General features: G+C 42.0%; 1 protein-coding gene and 1 long non-coding RNA gene across 3 annotated transcripts in view, besides 1 other annotated feature; both read left to right on the forward strand.

The window, feature by feature from the left end:
- CA5BP1-CA5B (CA5BP1-CA5B readthrough) overlaps nt 1-22,810 on the forward strand; it is a 112,954-nt gene that overhangs the window by 80,598 nt on the left and 9,546 nt on the right. The window contains exons 6-11 of one of the 2 annotated variants that reach the window (NR_160544.1): nt 8,523-8,720; nt 12,588-13,238; nt 16,441-16,559; nt 18,247-18,342; nt 19,191-19,253; nt 20,659-20,814. This is a non-coding gene — a long non-coding RNA (CA5BP1-CA5B readthrough). Of the gene's footprint in view, nt 1-8,522; nt 10,124-12,587; nt 13,239-16,440; nt 16,560-18,246; nt 18,343-19,190; nt 19,254-20,658; nt 20,815-22,810 lie in introns of those variants that run through there. The other variant, NR_160545.1, reaches the window with a different exon arrangement.
- Nucleotides 1-22,810, forward strand: part of CA5B (carbonic anhydrase 5B) — a 50,142-nt gene that overhangs the window by 17,786 nt on the left and 9,546 nt on the right. Inside the window, exons 3-7 of the mRNA NM_007220.4 lie at nt 8,523-8,720; nt 16,441-16,559; nt 18,247-18,342; nt 19,191-19,253; nt 20,659-20,814. Coding sequence (NP_009151.1) covers nt 8,523-8,720; nt 16,441-16,559; nt 18,247-18,342; nt 19,191-19,253; nt 20,659-20,814 — 632 coding nt within the window. The remainder of the gene's footprint in view (nt 1-8,522; nt 8,721-16,440; nt 16,560-18,246; nt 18,343-19,190; nt 19,254-20,658; nt 20,815-22,810) is intronic.
- Nucleotides 13,133-13,976: an enhancer, noted in NCBI's record as "OCT4-NANOG-H3K27ac hESC enhancer chrX:15787311-15788154 (GRCh37/hg19 assembly coordinates)". NCBI's record gives its function as "activates a minimal SCP1, AML or CMV promoter by ChIP-STARR-seq in naive and primed H9 embryonic stem cells {active_cell/tissue: H9 hESC(naive and primed)}" and the evidence as "EXISTENCE:reporter gene assay evidence [ECO:0000049][PMID:30033119]".

Raw genomic sequence — 22,810 nt, forward strand, 5'->3', positions numbered from 1 at the left:
AGGAACAGAGAGAATAGGTGTTGAGGAGTAAGAACAGTTGAAAGATGCTTTATTTAAGGTGGGAGTGTCAGAGAAGGGGCTTGAACTGACCTTGAAAGCCTAGTAGAATTTTAAGGAACAAACGAATAACAGATAGATACGATTAGGTGAACCTAAGAAGTGTTCAGGGTAAACCAGCTTGCCTGGTAGAGAGATGGTGGCTGTGAGGTAATGGGTAGAGAGCCTTGGTATCAATTTGTTTGGTTTTCTGTATCAGTAAAATAAGCATTTAGTACCTCTTCTGTGCCTTGTACCAAGTAAAGCCCTGGAGACTATAGAAAAAGTGGAGGACACAGACCTCATGGGCTTGGAGTTGACACAGGCCCTTTGGGCAGATAAAGCAAACACAGATTACCTGAGGAATGGTTGGATGCTAAATGGTATGAAAGCAAATTCAGTGTGTGTTCAGAAAAAGCAAAGCTCAGGATGGTTGGAGAATATGTCATCAGGGAGATAAGACTTGAACTGGAAAAGATTTCTATAAGTGTTAAGGAAAAGGAAGGGCTTCTAAGCACAAGCCAAAGTGGGGCTAAAGGCCAGGTGTGGGGGCTCATGCCTGTAATCCTAGCACTTTGGAAGGCCAAGACAGGAAGATAGCTTGAGCCCAGGAGTTCAAGACCAGCCTGGGCAACATAGTGAGACCCTATCTCTACAAAAAATTTTATTTAAAAAGTTTTTAGCCAGGCGCAGTGGCTCATGCCTGTAATCCCAGCACTTTGGGAGGCCAAGGCGGGTGGATCACAAGGTCAGGAGATCGAGACCATCCTGGCTAACACCGTGAAACCCCGTCTCTACTAAAAATACAAAAATTTAGCCGGGTGTGGTGGCGGGCACCTGTAAGTCCCAGCTACTCGGGAGGCTGAGGCAGTTGAATGGCAGGAACCGGGGAGGCAGAGCTTGCAGTGAGCCGAGATCGCGCCACTGCTCTCCAGCCTGGGCAACAGAGTGAGACTCCGTCTCAAAAAAAAAAAAAAAAAGTTTTTAAAAACCAAAGTAGATGGCCGGGTGCAGTGGCTCACACCTGTAATCCCAGCACTTTGGGAGGCCAAGGCGGGTGGATCACGAGGTCAGGAGTTCAAGACCAGCCTGGCCAAGATGGTGAAACCCCATCTCTACTAAAAATACCAAAAATTAGGCCAGGTGCGGTGGCTCACGCCTGTAATCCCAGCACTTTGGGAGGCCAAGGCGGGCAGATCACAAGGTCAAGAGATCGAGACCATCCTGGCTACTGAAGACATGGTGAAATCCCGTCTCTACTAAAAAATAGAAAAATTAGCTGGGCATTATGGTGGGTGCCTGTAGTCCCAGCTACGTGGGAGGCTGAGGCAGGAGAATCGCTTGAACCTGGGAGTCAGAGGTTGCAGTGAGCTGAGATCACGCCACTGCACTCCAGCCTAGCGACAGAGCGAGACTCTGTCTCAAAAACAAACAAGCAACAACAACAACAACAAAAACCCACAAAAATTAGCCGGGCATGGTGACAGGCACCTATAATCCCAGCTACTCGGGAGGCTGACGCAGGAAAATTGCTTGAACGCAGGAGGTGGAGGTTGCAGTGAGCCAAGATCGTGCCACTGCACTCTAGCCTGGGTGACAGAGCGAGACTCCATCTCAAAAAAAAAAAAAAAACCCCAAAGTAGACATAAACTTGTGTAGGCAGGCAGTTGTAAGAAGAGTAGCATGCTAAGGGGAACAGCATGACAAGAAAAGTACATAGGAACACCAGAGTTTGGGAAGAATGAGGAAAATGAGATTAGATAAGTGAGATGGGTTCTAATAGGAAAACCTGGGCATTGAACATAGAAGTTACAACTTGATATACTGTTTTTAGCGTAGGAGCAATGTGACAAAGGTGGTTATTTAGGAAAATTGCTGAGTGGCAGAACTCAGGAGTAGAGGAGAGTTAGAAAAGAGGAAAAGCAACCAAGAGGCTTTGTATGAAGTCTGGGGGTTAGGGTTCTGAACTAGGCCGCTGTTCTGGGAAAGGTGAAGAAGAGATAAACCTGAATGATTCTTAAAGAAAAATAATGAAATAAAGCAAAAAGGAGAAGCAAACTGTCTTATTCTGTTTGGGCTGCTATAACAAAGTACCTCAGACTAGATAATTTATACACAACAGAAATTTGTTGCTCACAGTTCTGGAGGCCAGGAAGTCCAAAAAACCAAGGTGCCAGTAGATTCAGTGTCTGATGAGGGTTCTCTTTGCTTCAAAGAATTTGCCTTCTTGCTGCATCCTCACGTGGTGGAAGGAGCTCAGAAGCTTTCTCAAGCCTCTTTTATAAGGGTATTAATCCCGTTCATGAGAGCTCTGCCTTCGTGACTATGTCACCTCCCAGTGGCCTCAGCTCTTAATACCATCACCTTGGGGAAAAGGATTTCAGCGTGTACATTTTTGGGTTTTATTTTTTTATTTTTATTTTTTTATTTTTTGAGACAGGGTCTTGCTCTCTTGCCCAGACTGGAGTGCAGTGGCACAATTTCAGCTCACTGCAACCTCCGCCTCCCGGGTTCAAGAGATTCTCCTGCCTCAGCCTCTCAAGTAGCTGGGACTACAGGTATGAGCCACCACACCCAGCTAATGTTTTGTATTTTTACAAGAAATGGTGTCTCCCCATGTTGGCCAGGCTGGTCTCAAACTACTGACCTCAATTGATCTGCCCACCTTGGCCTGCCAAAGTGTTGGGATTACAGGTGCAAGCCACTGCTGCCTGGCTAAATTTTGAGGAGACGTATACATTCACACCATAGCACAAATCTTCCCAGTGATGCTCCTCATCTTATTCCATCCACAAGTATTAACCGAAAGCCAGCTGGCTTACAGAGCAGTGAGGAAGGCAGATAATTAGACACATACGCATATAATTATAACTGCACCTATGTAATAAATGTCATGAAAGAAAAATCGGAGTGCTATGATTTAAAAATTATAATATGAAGTGATCATATTATAAGAGAGTAGCCAGAGGTCACTTTGTCAAGGAGGTAACAATTAAGCCCAAGACCTAAAGATAATGGGAGCCAGCCCTGAGCCAAATGAGGGGTAGTTGATTTCTGTGGAGGAGGAGCACGAAGAAAGGGACTAAGGCAGGAATGAGCTTTCCGTGTTTCAAGGGCTGAAAGAAGGACAGTGCCAAAGCTGGGGAAATAGGTGGTTGCAGCAAACTGAATGTTCATGACCCCCTAACATTTGTGTGTTGAAATCCTAACCACCAAGGTGATGGTATTAAGAGGTGGGGCTTTGGGGAGGTGATTAGATCGTGAGGGCAGAGTTCTCATGAATAGGATTAGTTCCCAATATAAAAGAGACCCCAGAGAGCTCCCTCGTACCTTGTACCATGTGAAGACAGCAAGGAGGCTGTCTATGAACCAGAAGACAGGACCTTGCCGGACACCCAGTCTGCTGGTGCCTCGATCTTGGACTTCCCAGACTCCAGAACTGTGAGAAATAAATTTCTCTTATTTATAAGCCACCTAGTCTATGACATTCTGTCATAGCAGGCTGAATGGACTAAGACAGTGCTAAAGCACAAAATAAACCAAACCTAGGACTACTCATATAAACAACTAAAATCAAGCACTTCCTCAACATGGAATCCTTTGCAGGGCTTTTGTTGCCCATCAGCTAGAAATTACTGACACCTTTTTTTTTTTTTTTTTTTTTTTTTTTTTTTTGAGTCGGAGTCTTGACCTGTCGCCCTGGCTGGAGTGCAATGACACAATCTATCTCAGCTCACTGCAGCCTCCACCTCCTGGTTTCAAGCAATTCTCCTGCCTCAGCCTCCCGAGTAGCTGGGATTATAGGTGCGCACCACCACGCCCAGCTAATTTTTTGTATCTTTAGTAGAGATGGGGTTTCACCATGTTGGCCAGGCTGGTCTTGAACTCCTGACCTCAGGTGATCTGCCTGCCTCGGCCTCCCAAAGTGCTGAGATTACAGGCATGAGCCACCGCACCCGGCCAACACTTTCTTAATGACAGTATGCCTTTGTTAGCATAAACCACAGTTGATAAAATCATTATCTGTTTATTTCATTTTCCCTATACAAGAAGAACCTGAAAATGAAGCTTCTGTTAGACCACTTAATCATCTTATTTTTGAGGTAAAATATGAGCAACAACCAGGAAATTGTTTCGATCTGATTTTTGCTTAAATAGAGGAAAAGGAAGGGAGTAGGAGAGAACAAAAGTGTCAGTTTATCTTTAGCAAAACAAACCCTTGGCAAAAAATTGGCTTCAGTAAGGGGGCAGTGACCAAGGACCCCCTCCCCACACAGTGAGTTGGATGGTCTAACCTAGATGGTCTAGTTTAGTAAAGGAGGAGGGAGGTGGGTAGGAGGAAAGAAACCTTCTGGAAGCTGAACTTGTAAACTCAAGGGCATAAACTGATCTTGTCATTATGGTCATTAAAGAGCAATTGAAGGAACAGGCTCAGTTTTCTTGGGCTGGTATTTGCATGAGTGTGAGTGTTGATACTTCCCATTTCATGCATGAGATGGGGAAAAATTAAGGATGACCAAGGCGTCGTCTTAGGGACCTAATCACTCCAGTTCTTCCCTAGTTGTCACAGGAGACCCTCATTGAATGGCTTTGAAGAGTGTGTACTCTCAAATTATCAGCCACAGTCTGAGTGTCTCAGAGGGGAAGGTGCATAGTCTCTTTGTGTCAGGAATCTTTACAAACAGAATCAGGGCCTTTCAAGGGCTTTCTAGAAGTTAAAAAATTAACACAATTTGAATCATTTTTCAGATCATTTGAATCCTTTCAAGTCATTTGAATTTGAGCTTTTCCCCCCCAACAATGGCAGTTGGATATGTTACAGGGCATATGTTTATTTTATTTTTTATTTTTGCCTTTAAAAGAGATGTTTATTCATGATGAATATGAATCCAAGTGTTTGGGTGGATATAACAGAACCAAATGTAACAGAAATTTAAGATCATCTTTCCCTCTAAGATGAAAAATACGGTATATTATATGTTATTGGATAAAATTACTAAACATTTTTAGACCCTGAGGTTGTATATTTTATGATGTTGGCTGCTGCGTAGTTGCCATGATTGCTTTTTCAAATTGTTAATTTCTTTCTTTTTTAAAATTTCTATTTTTATTTTACATTCAGGGTTTACATATGCAGATTTGTTACATGGGTATATTGCATGGTGATGAGGTTTGGGCTTCTATTGATCCTGTCATCCAGATAGTGAACATAGTACCTAATAGGATGTTTTCCAGAAGGGCATATGTTTAATAAGATACCACAGGGCAACAAAAAAGGAGGAAGATGTGGCTCCTGCCCACAAGGAATTTGCATTCTAATTAGATTATGACAGTATGGCCCAGATTCCATTTCAGATGTGCCAGTTCATGTGCATTTTCCATTTTAGTTTTCTGAAACAGAAACTTCTTGTTCTTTAAAGTTCTTGTTCTTCACAAGTTGTTTTATACTGAGGAAAGAAAAAAACCCAGAACATTGGGTTCAGACCTCTCCAGAGATGACAGTACTGCATTATATGAAGAAATAGAAAGAAAAGAGTATTATGAGTTTGCATGCACCTTTTATCTTTAGACCAGGGTTTATCAACTTTGGCACTATTGGCTTTTGGGTCAGGATGCTTCTTTGTCTTGTCGGGGGGAGCCCATCCAGGGCATTATAGGATCTTTAGCAGCATCCCTGGCCTCTAACCACTAGATGTCACTAGCACCCTCTCCCAGTTTTGCCATCTGAAAATGTCTCCAGACATTGCCAAATGTTTTTGGGGGACTGAATTGCTTTCTCTGTTGAAAACCACTGATTTAGGCACTCTCAGGAGAGCTCTTTGTCTGTATTGCTGGAGCATTTTTATAAATAAAACAAAACAAAACAAAACACTGAGGTTAAGATACTGACTTACGGTCAGGCGCAGTGGTTTGCGCCTGTAATCCCAGCACTTTGGGAGGCTGAGGTGGGTGGATAACTTGAGGCCAGGAGTTCAAGCCCATCCGGGCCAACACAGCGAAACCCCATCTCTACTAAAAATACACAAAAGTTAGCCGGGTGTGGTGGCATGCGCCTGTAATCCCAGTTACTCAGGAGGCTGAGGCAGGAGAATTGCTTGAACCCAGGAGGCGGAGGTTGCAGTGAGCCAAGATCATGCCACTGCACTCCAGCCTGGGAGACAGAGCAAGACTCCATCTAAAAAAAAAAAAAGGTATTGACTTCCGGCTTTCAGCAATTACCGAAGGAAGAGGATTATCTGCTCTGTCAGAGTAAACCAGAGGCAGGTTTCTGCTTTTCATGGAAATAGGAGATGATGCTGCCATACGTGAGGGATTTGACAGAGTAACAAAACAACTACCTTAGTCTCATCCTTATTCTTTTTTTTTTTGAGACAGAGTCTTACTCTGTCACCCAGGCTGGAGTGCAGTGGCGCAATCTCGGCTCACTACAATCGCCATCTCCCGGGTTCAAGCGATTTTCCTGCCTCAGCCTCCCAAGTAGCTGGGACTACAGGCGTGTGCCACCACACCCGGCTAATTTTTAATAGAGACAGGGTTTCACTGTGTCTCGATCTCCTGACCTCGTGATCCGCCAAAGTGCTGGGATTACAGGCATGAGCCACCATGCCCAGCCAGTGTCATCCTTATTCTTAGTGGTGGGGCGAGATGCAGAGGGTCGTTGGTAATTATTTCCTTCATGTTTCTCCTAGTTTTCCTGTTGTTCTTGATTCTACCCATCCATGGTACTTCTAAAGGACAGGGAAATGGACCACCCCAAACTGATGTACATTGGTTCTGCTCATCACACTTGGGGGTCTCAACAGGCTGATCTGTGTTATCAGCAAGTCTGCTGATACTTATCAGGGACTTGCTACAGAGACCTGGTGCTTGACTCTGGAAGAAAATCAGCATCAGCAATGTCTTCAGTGCCTGTGGAGGATAAATTATATGTGTACACCTTAATAGATAATCTCCACATCCCTGTGACACACTGCAACCTCCAGGGACCTTAGCAATGCCGATGTTCTACCCAGGTTTTGCAGGATGGCTGCCTGGTCCTCAGAGTTTGCTTACATAGGAGGTGAACTCAACTCAGCACGCACAGTTATGTGGGGCGAGCATCTTACAGGATGCAGGCTACGCAAGCCTTTTTTTCTACCAGCCAACCAATTAAACGCTGACAATACTGATTCAATGTTTCCTTTCCCAAAGTTCTCCCATTTCCTTTTTTGAAAATAAATCTGTTATTGAAAATTGAATTAATTTGTCTTTGTATTTAAAGCCACTTTGGGGAGTTGGGGGTTGGGAAATTCTCGATGAAGAAAAGAAACTCATTTATGAATACCCTATTTCCACATGGCACCAAACTCCATGCATTATATTGTGATCACAGCACTGATTGCACTTGGTTTAGGTGAGCTTAGTAAGCAGACTGAGATGTGTTGGTTTTGCAAGATGCCAAAATGCTATTCCTCTGCCAGGTGCTCTCTGACCTATCTTTATCCTCTACTTTTGTGTATCCATTAAACCCCTAAGTGGCTGTATTGGTCAGGGTTCTCCAGAAGCAGAACCAATAAGGTATATAGAGAGATGGATGAGAGGGAATTTATTAGTGGAAATTGCTCACATGATTATAGAGGCTGGGAAGTCCCATGACAGGCCATCTGCAAGCCAGAGACCCTGAGATACTGGTAGTATGGGACAGTCCAAGACACAGGCCTTAGAACCAGGGAAACTGATGGTATAACTCTCAGTCTGAGGCCAAATGCCTGAGAACCCAGAGAGGTGCTGGTGTAAGTTCTGGCGTCCAAAGGCTGGGAAGCCTGTAGCTGTTACCCAAGGACAGGAGCAGAAGAGTGTATCCAAGATTCAGCAGATAGATGGACACATTCAGTTTTTCCATGTTTTTGTTCTCTCTGGCCCCCCAGCAGTTTAGATGATACCTGCCCACATTAAGGGCAGATCTTTCCCACCTAGTCCACTCAGAATTACATGCTAGTCTCCTCTGTAAACACCCCCAGAGAAACACCCCAAAATAATGCTTTACCAGGTTTCTAGGTATCCTTTAATCCAGTCAAGTCAGCAGCTAAAAGTAACCATCATAGTGGCTAATTCCTAAGGCTTTTAGTTTCCATTAGCCCTGACAGGTTCTCTAGAAGTACAGTAGACAGGCTTTTTTTTTTTTCTTTTGAGACATGGTTTGGGTCTGTTGCCCAGGCTGGAGTGCAGTGGTGCTATCATGGCTCACAACAGCCTCGACCTCCCGGGCTCAATCCTCCCACTTTAGCTTCCCCGGTAGCTAGGACTACAGGTGTGTACCACCACGCCTGGATAATTTTTTGCATATTTTGTAGAGACAGGGTTTCGCCGTGTTTCCTAGGCTGGTCTCAAACTTCTGGCCTCAAGTGATCCACCCGCCTTGGCCTCCCCAAGTGCTGGGATTATAGGAGTGAGCCACTGCACTCGGTCCAACAGTCTTGATAATAGGCTGACCTGCTTTCTCCTAGTGCATCCACTCTGGGAGAGCGTGGACCTGGTTCCTGGGGGCGATCGCCAGTCACCCATCAACATTCGGTGGAGGGACAGTGTTTATGATCCCGGCTTAAAACCACTGACCATCTCTTATGACCCAGCCACCTGCCTCCACGTCTGGAATAATGGGTACTCTTTCCTCGTGGAATTTGAAGATTCTACAGATAAATCAGGTGAGGGCAAGATCTGGTGGTCTTGTAAGGAGTTAAAGAAACAGTGTCATGTTAACAGAGGACACATCAAACTCTCTCCATGATAGTATTGACCTCTTTGTGAGCAATGGCATGGAACTCATTGATCTTAACTTTTTGAATGTGTGAAAAAAAATTCCTTCTAGTTTTTATGCATATTTTCTTCAACTAGTATAGGTAGTATTTTTAATTAATAAATATATCTCTATCTCTCTATGTATAGATTTATAATTGGTATAGAGCATAGGTGTGCAATGGAAGTTTTACCAGAAATTTATTTTGTATGTGTATATTGAATATGTACTAATTTTTTTCCTTTGCTTGTTGACTTTATGAGAACTTTTACATTAAATAGTAACATTGTTTAATCAGAGTTAACTTAGCAGATTACAATACACTTGAAATGGGGCCAAAAGGATATTCATGTGTGCATTAGGTTGCAAAGACTAGTCATGTATTAGAGAAATGGAAACTTATGATCTGGTAATTTTGTTAAATAAACAGTGTTACCTACCTAGTTTAAAAGAAACACAATTTAAAAGAGTTTTTAAAATTCAAATATTATATTGATTTTGAATCTTTTTTTTCACCTTCCTGGATGTAAACTAATGTGAATGATTTCAAAGTTTACCTGAAACTTATAGTGTCTATGGAAGACAGAAGGTGGTTAATTTTGTGAAGGTTTATTTTCCCTTTTTTTTTGTTTGCTTGTTTGTTTTACTGCATTTGATGATGTCAAATAGTCCAAATTAGTCTCAAAATAATTATTATTTGGAATAGTTTAAAGTGGTTATCAACCAGTGGTAATTCTGCCAACTTTCCCCCATACCCCTCCATATCCCTCACTCCCCGCTGTAGGATCCGAAGGCGTTTTTCATTGTCACAACTTGGGAAATGAAATTGGCATCTAGTGTGTCAAAGTCAGGGATGCCACTAAAGATCCTGCAGTGCGCCGGATATCCTTAACGAAGAGTTGTCTAGCCTGCAGTATCAATAGAGCTGAAGCGGAGAAATCTTGATCTCAAGGAAACTTGTTTTCTCTCATGAATGTTAGGAAATGAGTCCATAAAAATGATAATGAGGCCAGGAGCGGTGGCTTATGCCTGTAATCTCAGCATTTTGGGAGGCCGAGGTGGGTGGATTGCCTGAGCTTAGGAGTTCGAGATCACCCTGGGCAACATGGTGAAACCCCATCTTTACTAAAATACAAAGCATTAGCCGGGTGTGGTGGCGCATGCCTGTAATCCCAGCTACTCGGGAGGCTGAGGCAGGAGAATTACTTGAACCTGGGAGGCAGAGGTTGCAGTGAGCCGAGATCGCGCCACTGCACTCCAGCCTGGCATCAGAGTGAGACTCTGTCTCAAAAAAAAAAAAAAAAAAAAAAAGTAAATATTCACTCCTGCATTTATCCTGGCTCTGAGTCTCAACTGTGTCTTTGTTTTCTTTGTATTTTCCTAGTGATGCTCTGATACTTAGACATGGCACTCTGGCCTAACTACAAACAGACTGCTCCTCCAGTGGGCTTAATCTCTGTCTGGTTTTCTCCCTTCTGATATGTGTCTCTGCCATGATTCAGAAGGTATTTGAGTCTGTCTAAGAATTTAGGTGTTTCCATGTCCCCAACTTTCCTTTCTCCTCCATGGTATGACGCAGCCCCAAAACCATGAACATCTTACTTTCATATCTCAAAGTAGGAAGTTCTTTTTCCCCCAGATTCATGGGCATCTTTCTTTTCCCCCCTTTTTTTGCGTTGTTATTTATTTAAATTTTATATTTGTGAATTCACAGGTTGATGTGTTTCATTATATTGTTTCTAATTCTCTTAAAGTAACTTACTATACAAGTAAAAGCTTCTTGTACCACATAAAACCATCTCATGTGCCATCCTTTGGGAAACATTGTTTAAGGCCATCTGGGTCTGTTGGTGGAATAGCTAGAGAAGGGAGGAATAAAAAAGATAAGAAAGAAAAATGATACTGATATATGTTCTTTTAAAATATATTTAGTGGGTATAAGTTTAGTTTTGTTTTGTTACATGGATATATTGTGTAGCGGTGAAGTCTGGGCTTTTATTATACCCCTCATCATGCATCTTTCTTAATTTCCCCAAAACTCTAGAGTGTGCCCCCTTCTCAACTGGAAGTCCATAATATTACCTTGTTTATACGGATTCCAGAAATCTTCAAAACAACAAGCTAAATTCCTGTGTTCTGGATGACTGTCTGGCACTCTGGTGAGCTCTACTTGTCCCCCATGGGGCTCTACCATTATCCTTGCCAGACGTAAACTAATGGGCAGACCCAGTCTATAGGATACCAACCCTCATCCATTTACTCTGCATGCATAGTAATCCTTTTGAATTCTCAACCCCATCTAGGGCCCTAGCAGCCTGCTTTCTTCTGGGGATCCTTGGTATTGGTCAGCTTTCTAAAGCCCTTGACAGTATAGGGACTGTCTGTTGCCAATATATCATTGCTTCATTGAGTTGGAAGTCTTAGAAAGTTGCTTAATGAGTTTCTTAACTAAGTGACTTGAGCCCAAGAACTTTCAGGGTAAATAGCTGTTTTATCTTTTAGTCCTCTCTTTTTCTTTTGAACAATAGATTCTAGAATTTTTTTTTTTTTTTGAGACAGAGTCTCGCTCTGTTGTCCAGGCTGGAGTGCAGTGGCATGATTGCAGCTCACTGCAGCCTCAACCTCCTGGACTCAAGCAATCCTCCCACCTCAGCCTCCCGAGTAGCTGGGACCACAGGCATGTGCCACCACGCTCGGCTAATTTTTTTGTTTGTTTGTTTGTTTTTGTTTTTGTTTTTAAGACGGAGTTTTGCTCTTGTTGCCCAGGCTGGAGTGCAATGGCGTGATCTCGGCTCACTGCAACCTCTGCCTCCCGGGCTCAAGTGATTCTCCCACCTCAGCCTCCTGAGTAGCTGGGATTACAGGTGCCTGCCACTACACCCTGCTAATTTTCGGTATTTGTAGTAGAGACAGGGTTTCACCATGTTGGCCAGGCTGGTCTCGAACTCCTGACCTCAGGACCTCAGGTGATCCACCTGCCTCGGCCTCCCAAATTGCTGGGATTACAGGTGTGAGCCACTGCACCTGGCCTTTTTTTTTTTTTTTTTTTGAGATGGTGTCTCACTCTGTCGCCCAGGCTGGAGTGCAGTGGCGTGATCTTGGCTCACTGCAACCTTCACCTCCTGGCTTCAGGCAATTATCCCGCCTCAGCCTCCTGAGTAGCTGGGATTACAGGCACATGCCATCACACCTGGCTAATTTTTGTATTTTAGTAGAGACGGGTTTCACCATGTTGGCCAGGCTGGTCTCAAACTCCTGACCTCAAGTGATCTGCCCACCTTGGCCTCCCAAAGTGCTGAGATTATAGGTGTGAGCCACTGCTCCCAGCTCCGGCAAATTTTTGTATTTTTTGTAGAGATGGGGTTCCTGAGATCAAGTGATCCTCCCACCTCGGCCTCCCAAAGTGCTTGGATTATAGGTATGAGCCACCGAGCCAGGCCTCAAGAATTCTTATCTACCCATTTGCATGAGTAATCTTAGATGGAAAACAAGTCATCAACGTTTTTGTCATAATAGCTTCTTTTTAGATACCTACAAACCCAACTGACTAAATCACCCCTTGAACCTGTCTTCCCTGGGAGTGTCAGTCACACACTTACAAAATATGCAAGAAAACTTGTAGAGAGTTTGCTAATTTTTTTGTTTGGTTAGAAAGAACTAAAACTGATAGCCCTTTTAAATTATGCTTTAATAATTATTTTCTTTAAGATAGCATCAATTTTTAGTAATTACCTAATTTTCTCTCTCTCTCTCTCTCTCTTTTTCCACCTTTCAGTGACTGCCTCTTATTTCCTGTTTATTCTTTGCTGCTATTTCTCCATGTTGTTGCAAAACAATCAATAGCATGCAAAGAGGAAAAAAAGAGTGAATGAACATAAAAAATAAAAAGTGAAAGAAAGCAAGACATTTTAGAAACAAAGGCAAGAAACAATTCTAGAAAAGTAAAAACCTAATAAATATCGATGTCTATAAATTTCAAAGACAAAACCCTAAGAAATGCTGCCACAGTGTGCTTTGTGAGGATTGGAATAAAGTGCAAGGAAAAGGAGCTGGGGAAGGTATGTGACAAAAACATCATACCAGTCCTTTTGGGATGCAGCTAAAGCAGTGCTTAGAGGGAAATGTATAGATGAAAATGCCTACAATAGAGAAGAACTTTCTCAAGTCAGTATCTCAGCTTTCCGCCTTAAGAAACTAGAAAAAGAAGAACAAACTAAACCCAAAAGCAAGTAGAGAGAAGGGCATAATAAAGAACGAGCAGAAATCAATGAAATCAAAAGTTGGTTCTTTGGGAAGATCAACAAAGTTCACAAACTTTTAATTGGGGGAGACCAAGAAAAAAATAAAAGAAGACTCAAATTACTAAACTCTGGAATGAAAGAGAGGACAACATGACCTACCTACCTTGATAGGATTATAAGAGAAGGTATGTGAACATCTCATACCGCAGTCCTCTCCTGGGTGTTGTTTGGTATTTGGTTCCCCTGAGTAGGACACCGTTACTGATTTGAATGAGTGCATATAAGAGAGTCGAAATACTGTGGGGAAGGGCACTAAATTGTCCCTGGATGATCCCTGTCAATTATCATCTCCTCTGGAATTCCTCTTATTGGCACTGTCAACAGGCATTAAGGAGATGGAGAGGTGAGTGCCTTTGTTCTCCTCCTCAGGGTGCTTCCTGCTCCATCCTGCTTCCCTGACTTTACACTTCTTTGCGGCAGTGCCAGTGAACCTAGTAAGAATGCTTTCACAAACATTTAAGTTCTCCTTCCCTGTTTTAGGTCCTACATTTACTTTAAAACACACATACACAGTTTAAAACACACACACACACAGTTTAATGATTTTTAAAGGAAATTTACAGAGTTGTGCAACCATCACTATAGTCTAATTTTAAAACATTTCCATCACCCCAGAAGCATTCCTTGTGTCCATTTCCTGCATTTGCTTTTATTTATGTGGGTTCTGTGTATTTCCTTTCTCTTCACCATCCCTTTCTCTGTCAGCTCCTTCTCTTTCACATTGAAAAACAAAAGGAGGGAGTGAATATTACAGATTGCTTACTACCAGCCAGACTCTCTGCTGAATGTTTTATATTTGTTATGTAATTTTTTTAGAAGTTTAATCCTTTCTCATCTTAGAGCATGGAAAGAATAAAATATCAGGCCAAGCATGATGGCTCATGTCTGTAATCCCAGTGCTTTGGGAGGCCGATGTGGGTGGATCACTTGAGGTCAGGAGTTCGAGACCAGCCTGGCCAACATGGTGAAACTCCTTCTCTACCAAAATACAAAAATTATTTGGGCATGGTGGCACACGCCTGTAATTCCAGCTTCTTGGGGAGGCTGAGACAGGAGAATCACTTGAACCTGGGAGTTGGAGGTTGCAGTGAGGCGAGATCGTGCCACTGCATTCCAGCCTGGGCAACAGAGTGAGACTCTGTCTCAAAAAAAAATTAAAAAATAAAAGAATAAAATATCAACAACCTCAAATACATAAGTATATATTTATTTGATATGTGTTATGACTGCTTTGCTTTCCAATTCACTATCTTCTGTCTACCTGCCCCATTTCTTTGTTTCTTTCCTTTTTTTCTGTAGAGACTGGGTCTCACTATGTTTTTCAGGCTGGTCTCAAACTCCTGGCCTCAAGTGATCCTCCCACCTTGGCCTCCCGGAGTGCTAGGATTACAGGTGTGAGCCACTGCTGGGCCTGCCCCATTTCTTGATGACTATATTTCCTTCTTTCCTGCATTCATCTGCCCCACCCAACCCCACCTTTTTCCTTTAATCTTGCTGAGGTTACCAGTGACATCCCAATTAACTAGCCTGACAGCTGCTTGACAGTCTATTTCTCTCTCTCTCTCTTTCTTTCTTTCCTTTCCTTTTCTTTTCTATGTTTTATTTATTTTTATTTTTTAGAAAGAGTCTTTCTCTGTTGCCCAGGCTGGAGTGCAGTGGCGTGATCTTGGCTCACTGCAAGCTCCATCTCCCAGGTTCACACCATTCTCCTGCGTCAGCCTCCCGAGGAGCTGGGACTACAGGCACCCGCCACCATGCCCAGCTAATTTTTTTTTATTTTTAGCAGAGACGGGGTTTCACCATGTTAGCCAGGATGGTCTTGATCTCCTGACCTCATGATCCGCCCGCCTCAGCCTCCCAAAGTGCTAGGATTACAGGCATGAGCCACCGTGCCCGGCCAAAAACATCTTATCTGGGCCAGCCGCAGTGGCTCAACTGCCTGTAATCCCAGCACTTTGGGAGGCTGAGATGGGTGGATCTCTTGAGCTCAGGAGTTCAAGACAAGCCTGAGCAACATGACAAAACCTCATCTCTACAAAAAAAAAAAAAAAAAAAAGCCTGGCATGGTGATGCACGTCTGTAGTCCCAACTACTCAGGAGACTGAGGTAGGAGGATGGCTTGAGCCCAGGAGGCAGAGGTTGCAGTGAGCCGACATTGTGCCACTGCACTCCAGCTTGGGCGACAGACTAAGACCCTGTTTCAAAAAAAAAAAAACACTTGTCAATATTTTGCCTATAATATATTGGTAATAATTTGTGTGTGTGTGTGTGTGTTTGCGACAGAGTCTCGGTCTGTCACTCAGGCTGGAGTGCAGTGGCACGATCTCAGCTCACCGCAACCTCCGCCTCCTGGGTTCAAGTGATTCTTGTGCCTCAGCCACCTGAGTAGCTGGGACTACAGGCATGGGCCACCACGCCCAGCTAATTTTTTTTTTTTTTTTTAATTTTTAGTAGACATGGGGTTTCACCATGTTGGCCAGGCTGATCTCAAATTCCTGACCTCAGATGAGCCACCCGCTTCAGCCTCCCAAAGTGTTGGGATTACAGGTGTGAGCCACCAGGCCCGGCCAGTGTGTTTTTTCAATTGACATATTTGTATACATTTACCAGGTACAATGTAATCTTTTGATATATGTATGCATTGTGGAATGATTATATCAAGCAATGAAAATATCCATCACCTCACATGCTTACCATTTTTTTTTTTGTAGCGAGAAAATCTACTGTTACTCTTTTAGTAATTTTGAAATGTGCAATAGATTATTATCAACTATGGTCACCATGCTGTGCAATAAATCTTGAAAACATATTCTTCCTAACTGAAACTTTGTACCTTTTGACCAACATCTCCCAGGTGATCATTTTTGACTTGCAAATGTCCTATTCCATTTCAATGAAAGGGAAAGCAACACTAGTATCTTCAAAACTTGAAAAGCAAAGTGTCTGTGCATAAAAAAAGAAAGATCCTTTTATCCCCATATTTCAGTATTATAAAGTCATGTTGGATAAATGTGCTGAGAGAAATTTGCATTTTATTGCACACAAAAGAAAACTGGACACAATAATATAGGATATAAAATTAAGTCAAGAGTTGGCCTTTAACAATTGTTTGTAGCTTGTTATGTAGTTAAATCTTGATGTTATTTGGTCTTGTCCTTATACGTGCATTGACTTCATGAAAATCAAATTTATAATCACTTGTATATAATTCAGTGTAATCCATTTAAGACAGTTCACATGGAGGGTCCATTGGAGATTTGGCCTTTCACCCACATTCCTCCACTGCACAAATAACTCTTCCCTGAATTGTTGGATGTGCCATTTTAGTGATCAAGGGAGGACCCCTGGAACACAACTACCGATTGAAGCAGTTCCATTTTCACTGGGGGGCCATCGATGCCTGGGGTTCTGAGCACACCGTGGACAGCAAATGCTTCCCAGCAGAGGTATGTTGAGAAGGTCAGGAACAGTGACAACTGTAGAGAAGTGGGGATAATTCTGAACTTTTAGTTGTAAGACATTATTAGAATCAGGTGATTCCTATAAATGCTAAATAGCTTTCTCAGGCAGTTTTGATCATTCTCAGCTAAGACATGTAAAAATGTTAACTTCTCTCATCTCAAATAATATAGTTGAAATGAACCTTAAGATCCTGAAACTGAATTCTTCTGGAATTCGAAAGTGGACTCAAATAGTAGCCCAAAGTAATAACCCAGGGAACATTGTGGAGCCACAGGTTGAATTAATGCAAGTTTGCGGTGGTGGGAGCCTAAATGAAGGCTGTGGCAATAGAAATAGAGAAAAAGGGCAAGATTTATCAAGCATTTCTGAAATTAAAGCAACAGGACTTGAAGGTAGGGTTCTCTTCAGGATAGGAGAAGGCAAGGTTAACCACGACTTTGTGGTGTCTCACTTGGGAGGCTGGGTGATAATGCACTCATAACTGATGAATGAGGAATGATTTGTAGGGAAATAAAGGGAGATTTTAAGGAAATAGAATTTCTTCTTACAACTTTTTTCCTAATTCAATTGTAAATGTTATGTAAAAAAAGCCCATTTAAAAATTTATTTTATATTTTTTATATTTGTTTCATTTTATTTTGCTTTGTGAGACAGGGTCTCACTCTGTCACCCAGGCTGGAGTGCAGTGGCACAATCACGGTTCACTGCAGCCTCGACCTTAAGCAATCCTCCCACCTCAAGACAACAGGCGCACATCACCATGCCCTGCTAATTTTTTTTTTTTTTTTTTTTTTTTTGGGACAGAGTTTTGCTCTGTCGCCCAGGCTGGAGTGCAGTGGCGTGATCTTGGCTCACTGCAAGCTCTGCCTCCCGGGTTCACACCATTCTCCTGTCTCAGCCCCCCAAGTAGCTGGGACTACAAGCGCCCACCACTGCGCCCAGCTAATTTTTTGTATTTTTAGTAGAGATGGAGTTTCACCGTGTTAGCCAGGATGGTCTCGATCTCCTGACCTTGTGATCCACCCACCTCGGCCTCCCAAAGTGCTGGGATTACAGGCGTGAGCCACCGCGCCCGGCCTGCCCTGCTAATTTTTAAATTTTTTTGTAGAGACAAGGTTTCACTATGTCGTCCAGGCTGGTCTCATACTGCTGGATTCAAGTGATTCTCCCACCTTGACCTCCCAAAATGCTGAGATTACAGGTGTGAGCCACCACACCCAGCCTAAAAGCACATTTTAAATGGTTATTCCTTGAAGAAGAAATTTGTCTTTAACTCCTGCATAATTTCCATATGGAGGATCTATTTCTCTCAATATAAACATCTTCTCTCCTGTAGATGCAAGTGGATTTCGAATATTGGTATTTCATTCAAATCAAGATGGGACTGGACAAATGTTGATTGCTCACTGAAGTGTCACTTTGTTATATGAATTTTCTATTTTTCTCCCCAAATAAATCCCTTTATTCTAAAATAATATTAATTGCTGCTCTTGCCTAAATTTCTTCCTGATCTTTGTTTCTATCTCATTTTGGATTGTCATATGGTTTTCTTGGTGGCTTTACTTTGGGTGAGGAAACATGTTTAAATGTCATAGGTTGACTGAGGCTGTGGGTTTATTCTGGAGAGATTCTGTATAGTCACGTGTTAACCCTCTTTTCATGGTGTTTCAGCTGCACTTAGTGCATTGGAACGCAGTCAGATTTGAAAACTTTGAGGATGCAGCACTGGAAGAAAATGGTTTGGCTGTGATAGGAGTATTTTTAAAGGTAAAATATCTCACCAACTTTAAATGACGTGTTGTATTCTAGGATGAAAAGATAGAACAGTATAATATTGTTATTTACTTTAAGAATGTTGGGATCCATACATTGGTAAGATAAATAGTGCTTGAAGTACAGGATTGTTAAGAATATATTTTAGGGCCAGGCATGGTGGCTCACGCCTGTAATCCCAGCACTTTGGGAGGCCGAGGCAGGCAGATCACTTGAGGTCAGGAGTTCGAGACCAGCCTGGCTTCCATGGGGAAACCCTGTTTCTACTAAAAATACAAAAATTAGCCAGGCATAGTGGTGCGCACCTGTAATCCTAGCTACTCGGGAGGCTGAGGCAGGAGGATCGCTTGCTTGAGCCTGGGAGGTGGAGGCTGCAGTAAGCCAAGATTGTGCCACTGCACTCCAGCCTGGGCAACAGAGCGAGACTCCATCCCCCCCACCACCAAAAAAATATATATATTTTAAATGATATAAAAATGCACAGCCCAATAGAGTGGTCACAAGCCACATGTGGCAATTGAGCACTTGAAATGTGTCTACTGCAGTTCTGGAACCATTTTTCATTTTATTTAATTTTAATTTCAATTTAAGAACTTAAATGAAGCAGGGGGCACCTTTCACTGCAGGCATGCTGACCTTGTCAGCAAACAGCCTGCTGATTTGTTCTCTAATTTAATTCAGTAATGTTTATAAAATTATAAATTACAAGTTTAAGTGTAATTTCAGTCATGCAGTTTGTTTTTATGTAATCACCAGGTAGTTAATTTTAATTCACATTCTGTTACAGTTTCTACAGTGAGATGTCCATTGTTTGTAATATTTTCTTACTTGTTGTTCTTTAGCTAGGCAAACATCATAAGGAGCTACAGAAATTAGTGGATACTTTGCCGTCAATTAAGCATAAGGTACTATTTGTTTTCCTTAATTACTTGAAATATACTTTTATGTTTCAATCTCAGAGCGGAGACATTACCAAGGCACTTTGAATTGGGAAGTTTAATTAGGTGAACTGTATTCAGCCTTAGAAGAAAACTTGCCATTTATGATTCCAGGGGACAGAAGTCATCATTCTGTGGGTAGGCAGTGAGCTTTCTGGTTTTGCTGCAGTGCCGCTGAGGACTTGGGGACTCAGGAACATATTGCTGTCCCCTCCTCTGTTCCTGACACCGGCTCCTTCTAAGTCCTTGTGAACACACCCAGAGCAGCCTTCTGTTCTGTAGCTGCCATCCCACAGGCAGGGAGCAGAGCGCAGTTCTACAGAAACTTGCCTTGTCCAGCTAGAAAGAACAGTAATCCACATCCTTCAGGTCGGATGCCTTTGTCCAGTCCCCCAATATTAATTCTTCAATATTCAGAATCTCAAAGGGCTGCTCTCTGGAGGCCCATATATTCTCTTCTTCTCCCTCTCATCCCCCACTGTATCCCTCTGGTCCCCACCTCTTTCCCTCTCCTTTCCTCTCTGGAAGCCCGTATATTATCTCCCCCCATCCCCCACTCTGACCTTCTGGTCCCTACCTCTTTCCCTCTCCTCTCATCTCCATTTTCCTGTTTTTCCCTCTCTTTCCTTTTAGTTCAGGTTTCTGGCTCCTCCTGAGCTGCATTTCTTCTTAAAAGGACAATTCTCAGTTAGCCTCTCGAAAATGCAAAGCCTCCAACCGGGCGCAGTGGCTCACGCCTGTAATCACAGCACTTTGGGAGGCCGAGGCTGGCGGATCACGAGGTCAGGAGATCGAGACTGTCCTGGCTAACACAGTGAAACCCCATCTCTCCTAAAAAATACAAAAAATTCGCCGGGCATGGTGGCGGGCGCCTGTAGTCCCAGCTACTTGGGAGGCTGAGGCAGGAGAATGGCGTGAACCCGGGAGGCGGAGCTTGCAGTGAGCCGAGATTGCACCACTGCACTCTAGCCTGGGCGACAGAGCGAGACTCTGTCTCAAAAAAAAAAAAAAAAAAAGAAAAAAGAAAAGAAAATGCAAAGCCTCTTTCTTTATGCACTGGCCGCTGTCTAAAACCTCTCAACAAAACTCAGAGGAGACTACCTGCTGGAACCTCACTAGAATTGAGAGATCAAGTGGTTTTGGCCGTTTTCCCACAGGGGAATATAAAAAATGCACAGTTAATTCCAGAAACAAAGCCAGGCATGATACCATCCTAAGCAGCGATTCTTCAGGTAGCTGCCCAGAAAGGCCTGGAGCTGCTCTGGACCACTGCTGATCTCCAGATACTCCCTGAGAACCGTCACCTCGGCGTCCAATTCCTGAGTGGTTTTCACTACTAAATAATGACTCGGTTATCTCTTCTCTTGGCCAGGACGCCCTTGTGGAATTTGGGTCATTTGACCCTTCCTGCCTGATGCCTACCTGCCCAGATTACTGGACCTACTCAGGGTCTCTGACTACCCCACCCCTCTCCGAGTCTGTCACCTGGATCATTAAGAAGCAACCAGTAGAGGTTGATCATGATCAGGTATGTTCTCTCCATAATTTCAATCTAAGGAAATCCTTGTCTGCCCATGTAAAACAAGGCTGGGCTCAGACTGTGGCATCAGTTTTAACATCTTGTAATGCTTATACATTTTTATTGAAGTGTACCAACGTCTTGTCTCAGTTTGGACATGAATTTGGGGATGTTTCAAATTAACTAGAGAGAAGAGTTAAAACACAGAAGAACATAAGTTTTTTACATTTATATTTGACAATTACATATGTCTTCTTATGCCTTGTGTATTTTATATATAAATATTAAACTCTATACAAAATCAAGACCCTTTTAAAGGGAAGAGTGAAGGCTGGAAATGAATGTGTTCAAAACTGTTTAAAATCCTTAAGGGAATTCTGCTATGGAATCTCAGGATAAATACAGAATTCAACAATGTTTGTCCAGAAACTTTAATGTAAGTCCATTTTTTGAATTTGGGATCTATTTTTCCCTTAGAAACTAAGTCTAAGTAGTATTTACTATGCAAACACTCAAAATCCTGTATAATGTATAATATAAACTACAATAATATTTACTCATACTTGTTTTATGGGATTTTTATTGATTATAAAGCATTTTCATAAGAAAAAAAGCTTCCAAATTCTTTTTATGAAGCCAGCATAACTGATACCAACACTCACCAAAGATTGGACCCCCCTCTGAAGAATATAAAAGAAAAAAAAGCTAAAAAGAAAATATTAGAAACAGAATCCAGCAGTACATCAGAAGAAATATACACTTTGTCCAAGTAGCTTTTACTCCAGTAATACAAGTATGGTTCATGTTAAGAATGATATTAATGTAATTCATTCTATCAGTGGATCTAAATAGAAAAATCATATTATCATTTCCAGGGAAGTTAAAAAGACATTTGTAAAAATCACCATTCAGTTTTTGAAAATTTTTAATAAAACAGAGCTGAATAGAGACTTCCCTATCTTGATAAAAGAGATTGATCTCAGTTCAAAAGCAAATAGTAGGTTTTGAATGGAAAGGATTGTTACCGTATTAAGTTTTATATTAAATTACATTCTGGAAGTAGCCAGTACAGTTAGACTGGAAAATAAAAAATAAATTAGAGAAACAATAAAAAACGACTACAAAAATCAGAGATAATTTGGTAATCAGTGGAATACAATATCAATTTCTAGAAATCAATACATTTGACATATATAAATCACAATCAGCTAAAAGATATGATATAAAGATATAATGTAAGAAAGGCTCCTATTTATAATGGAAACAAAAATATAAAATACTTCGGAATAATTTTAACAAGGAAAGCTAATAAGAAAACTTAAAATGTTCCTGGAGGATACAAAAGAAGGCTTGAATTAATAAAGTTAACACATTATAGGATCAAAAGACATAAAAACACCTTTTTTTGTCATAAATGACAACCTAAGTTGTCATTCTCCATGAATTATTTATTCACCATAAATTTATGTATTCCCAATAAATATGCCAATAGGATTTTTAAATTGATATGCTATTTCTAAACTCATGAATAAAGACAAACACATAAATAGCCAGGGAAAATTCTAGAAAAATACGGGATAATTAGACTCACAAAGTTATAAAGCCTCAATAATTAAATAGCGTGTTCCTGGCACATGGATAAAGAGATCAATCAAGGGAAGTATATTAGCGTTCTCCAGAGAAACAGAACCAATAGGATATATATTGTATTAGTCCATTTTCACACTCCTATAAAGAACTACCTGAAACTGGGTAATTTATGAAGAAAGGAGGTTTAATTGACTCATAGTTCCACAGGCTTAACAGGAAGCATGACTGGGAGGCCTCAGGAAACTTAAAATCATGGCAGAAGGCAAAAGGGAAGCAAGGACCTTCTTCACATGGTGGCAGAAGAGAGAGAGAGAGATGGGGGAAGTGCCACACACTTTTAAACCGTCAGATCTCATGAGAACTCTTTCACTATCACGAGAACAGTAAGGAGGAAATCCACCCTCATGATCCCCTC

This window comes from Homo sapiens, chromosome X (genome assembly GCF_000001405.40).
Source record: "Homo sapiens chromosome X, GRCh38.p14 Primary Assembly".
Taxonomy (NCBI): Eukaryota; Metazoa; Chordata; class Mammalia; order Primates; family Hominidae; genus Homo; species Homo sapiens.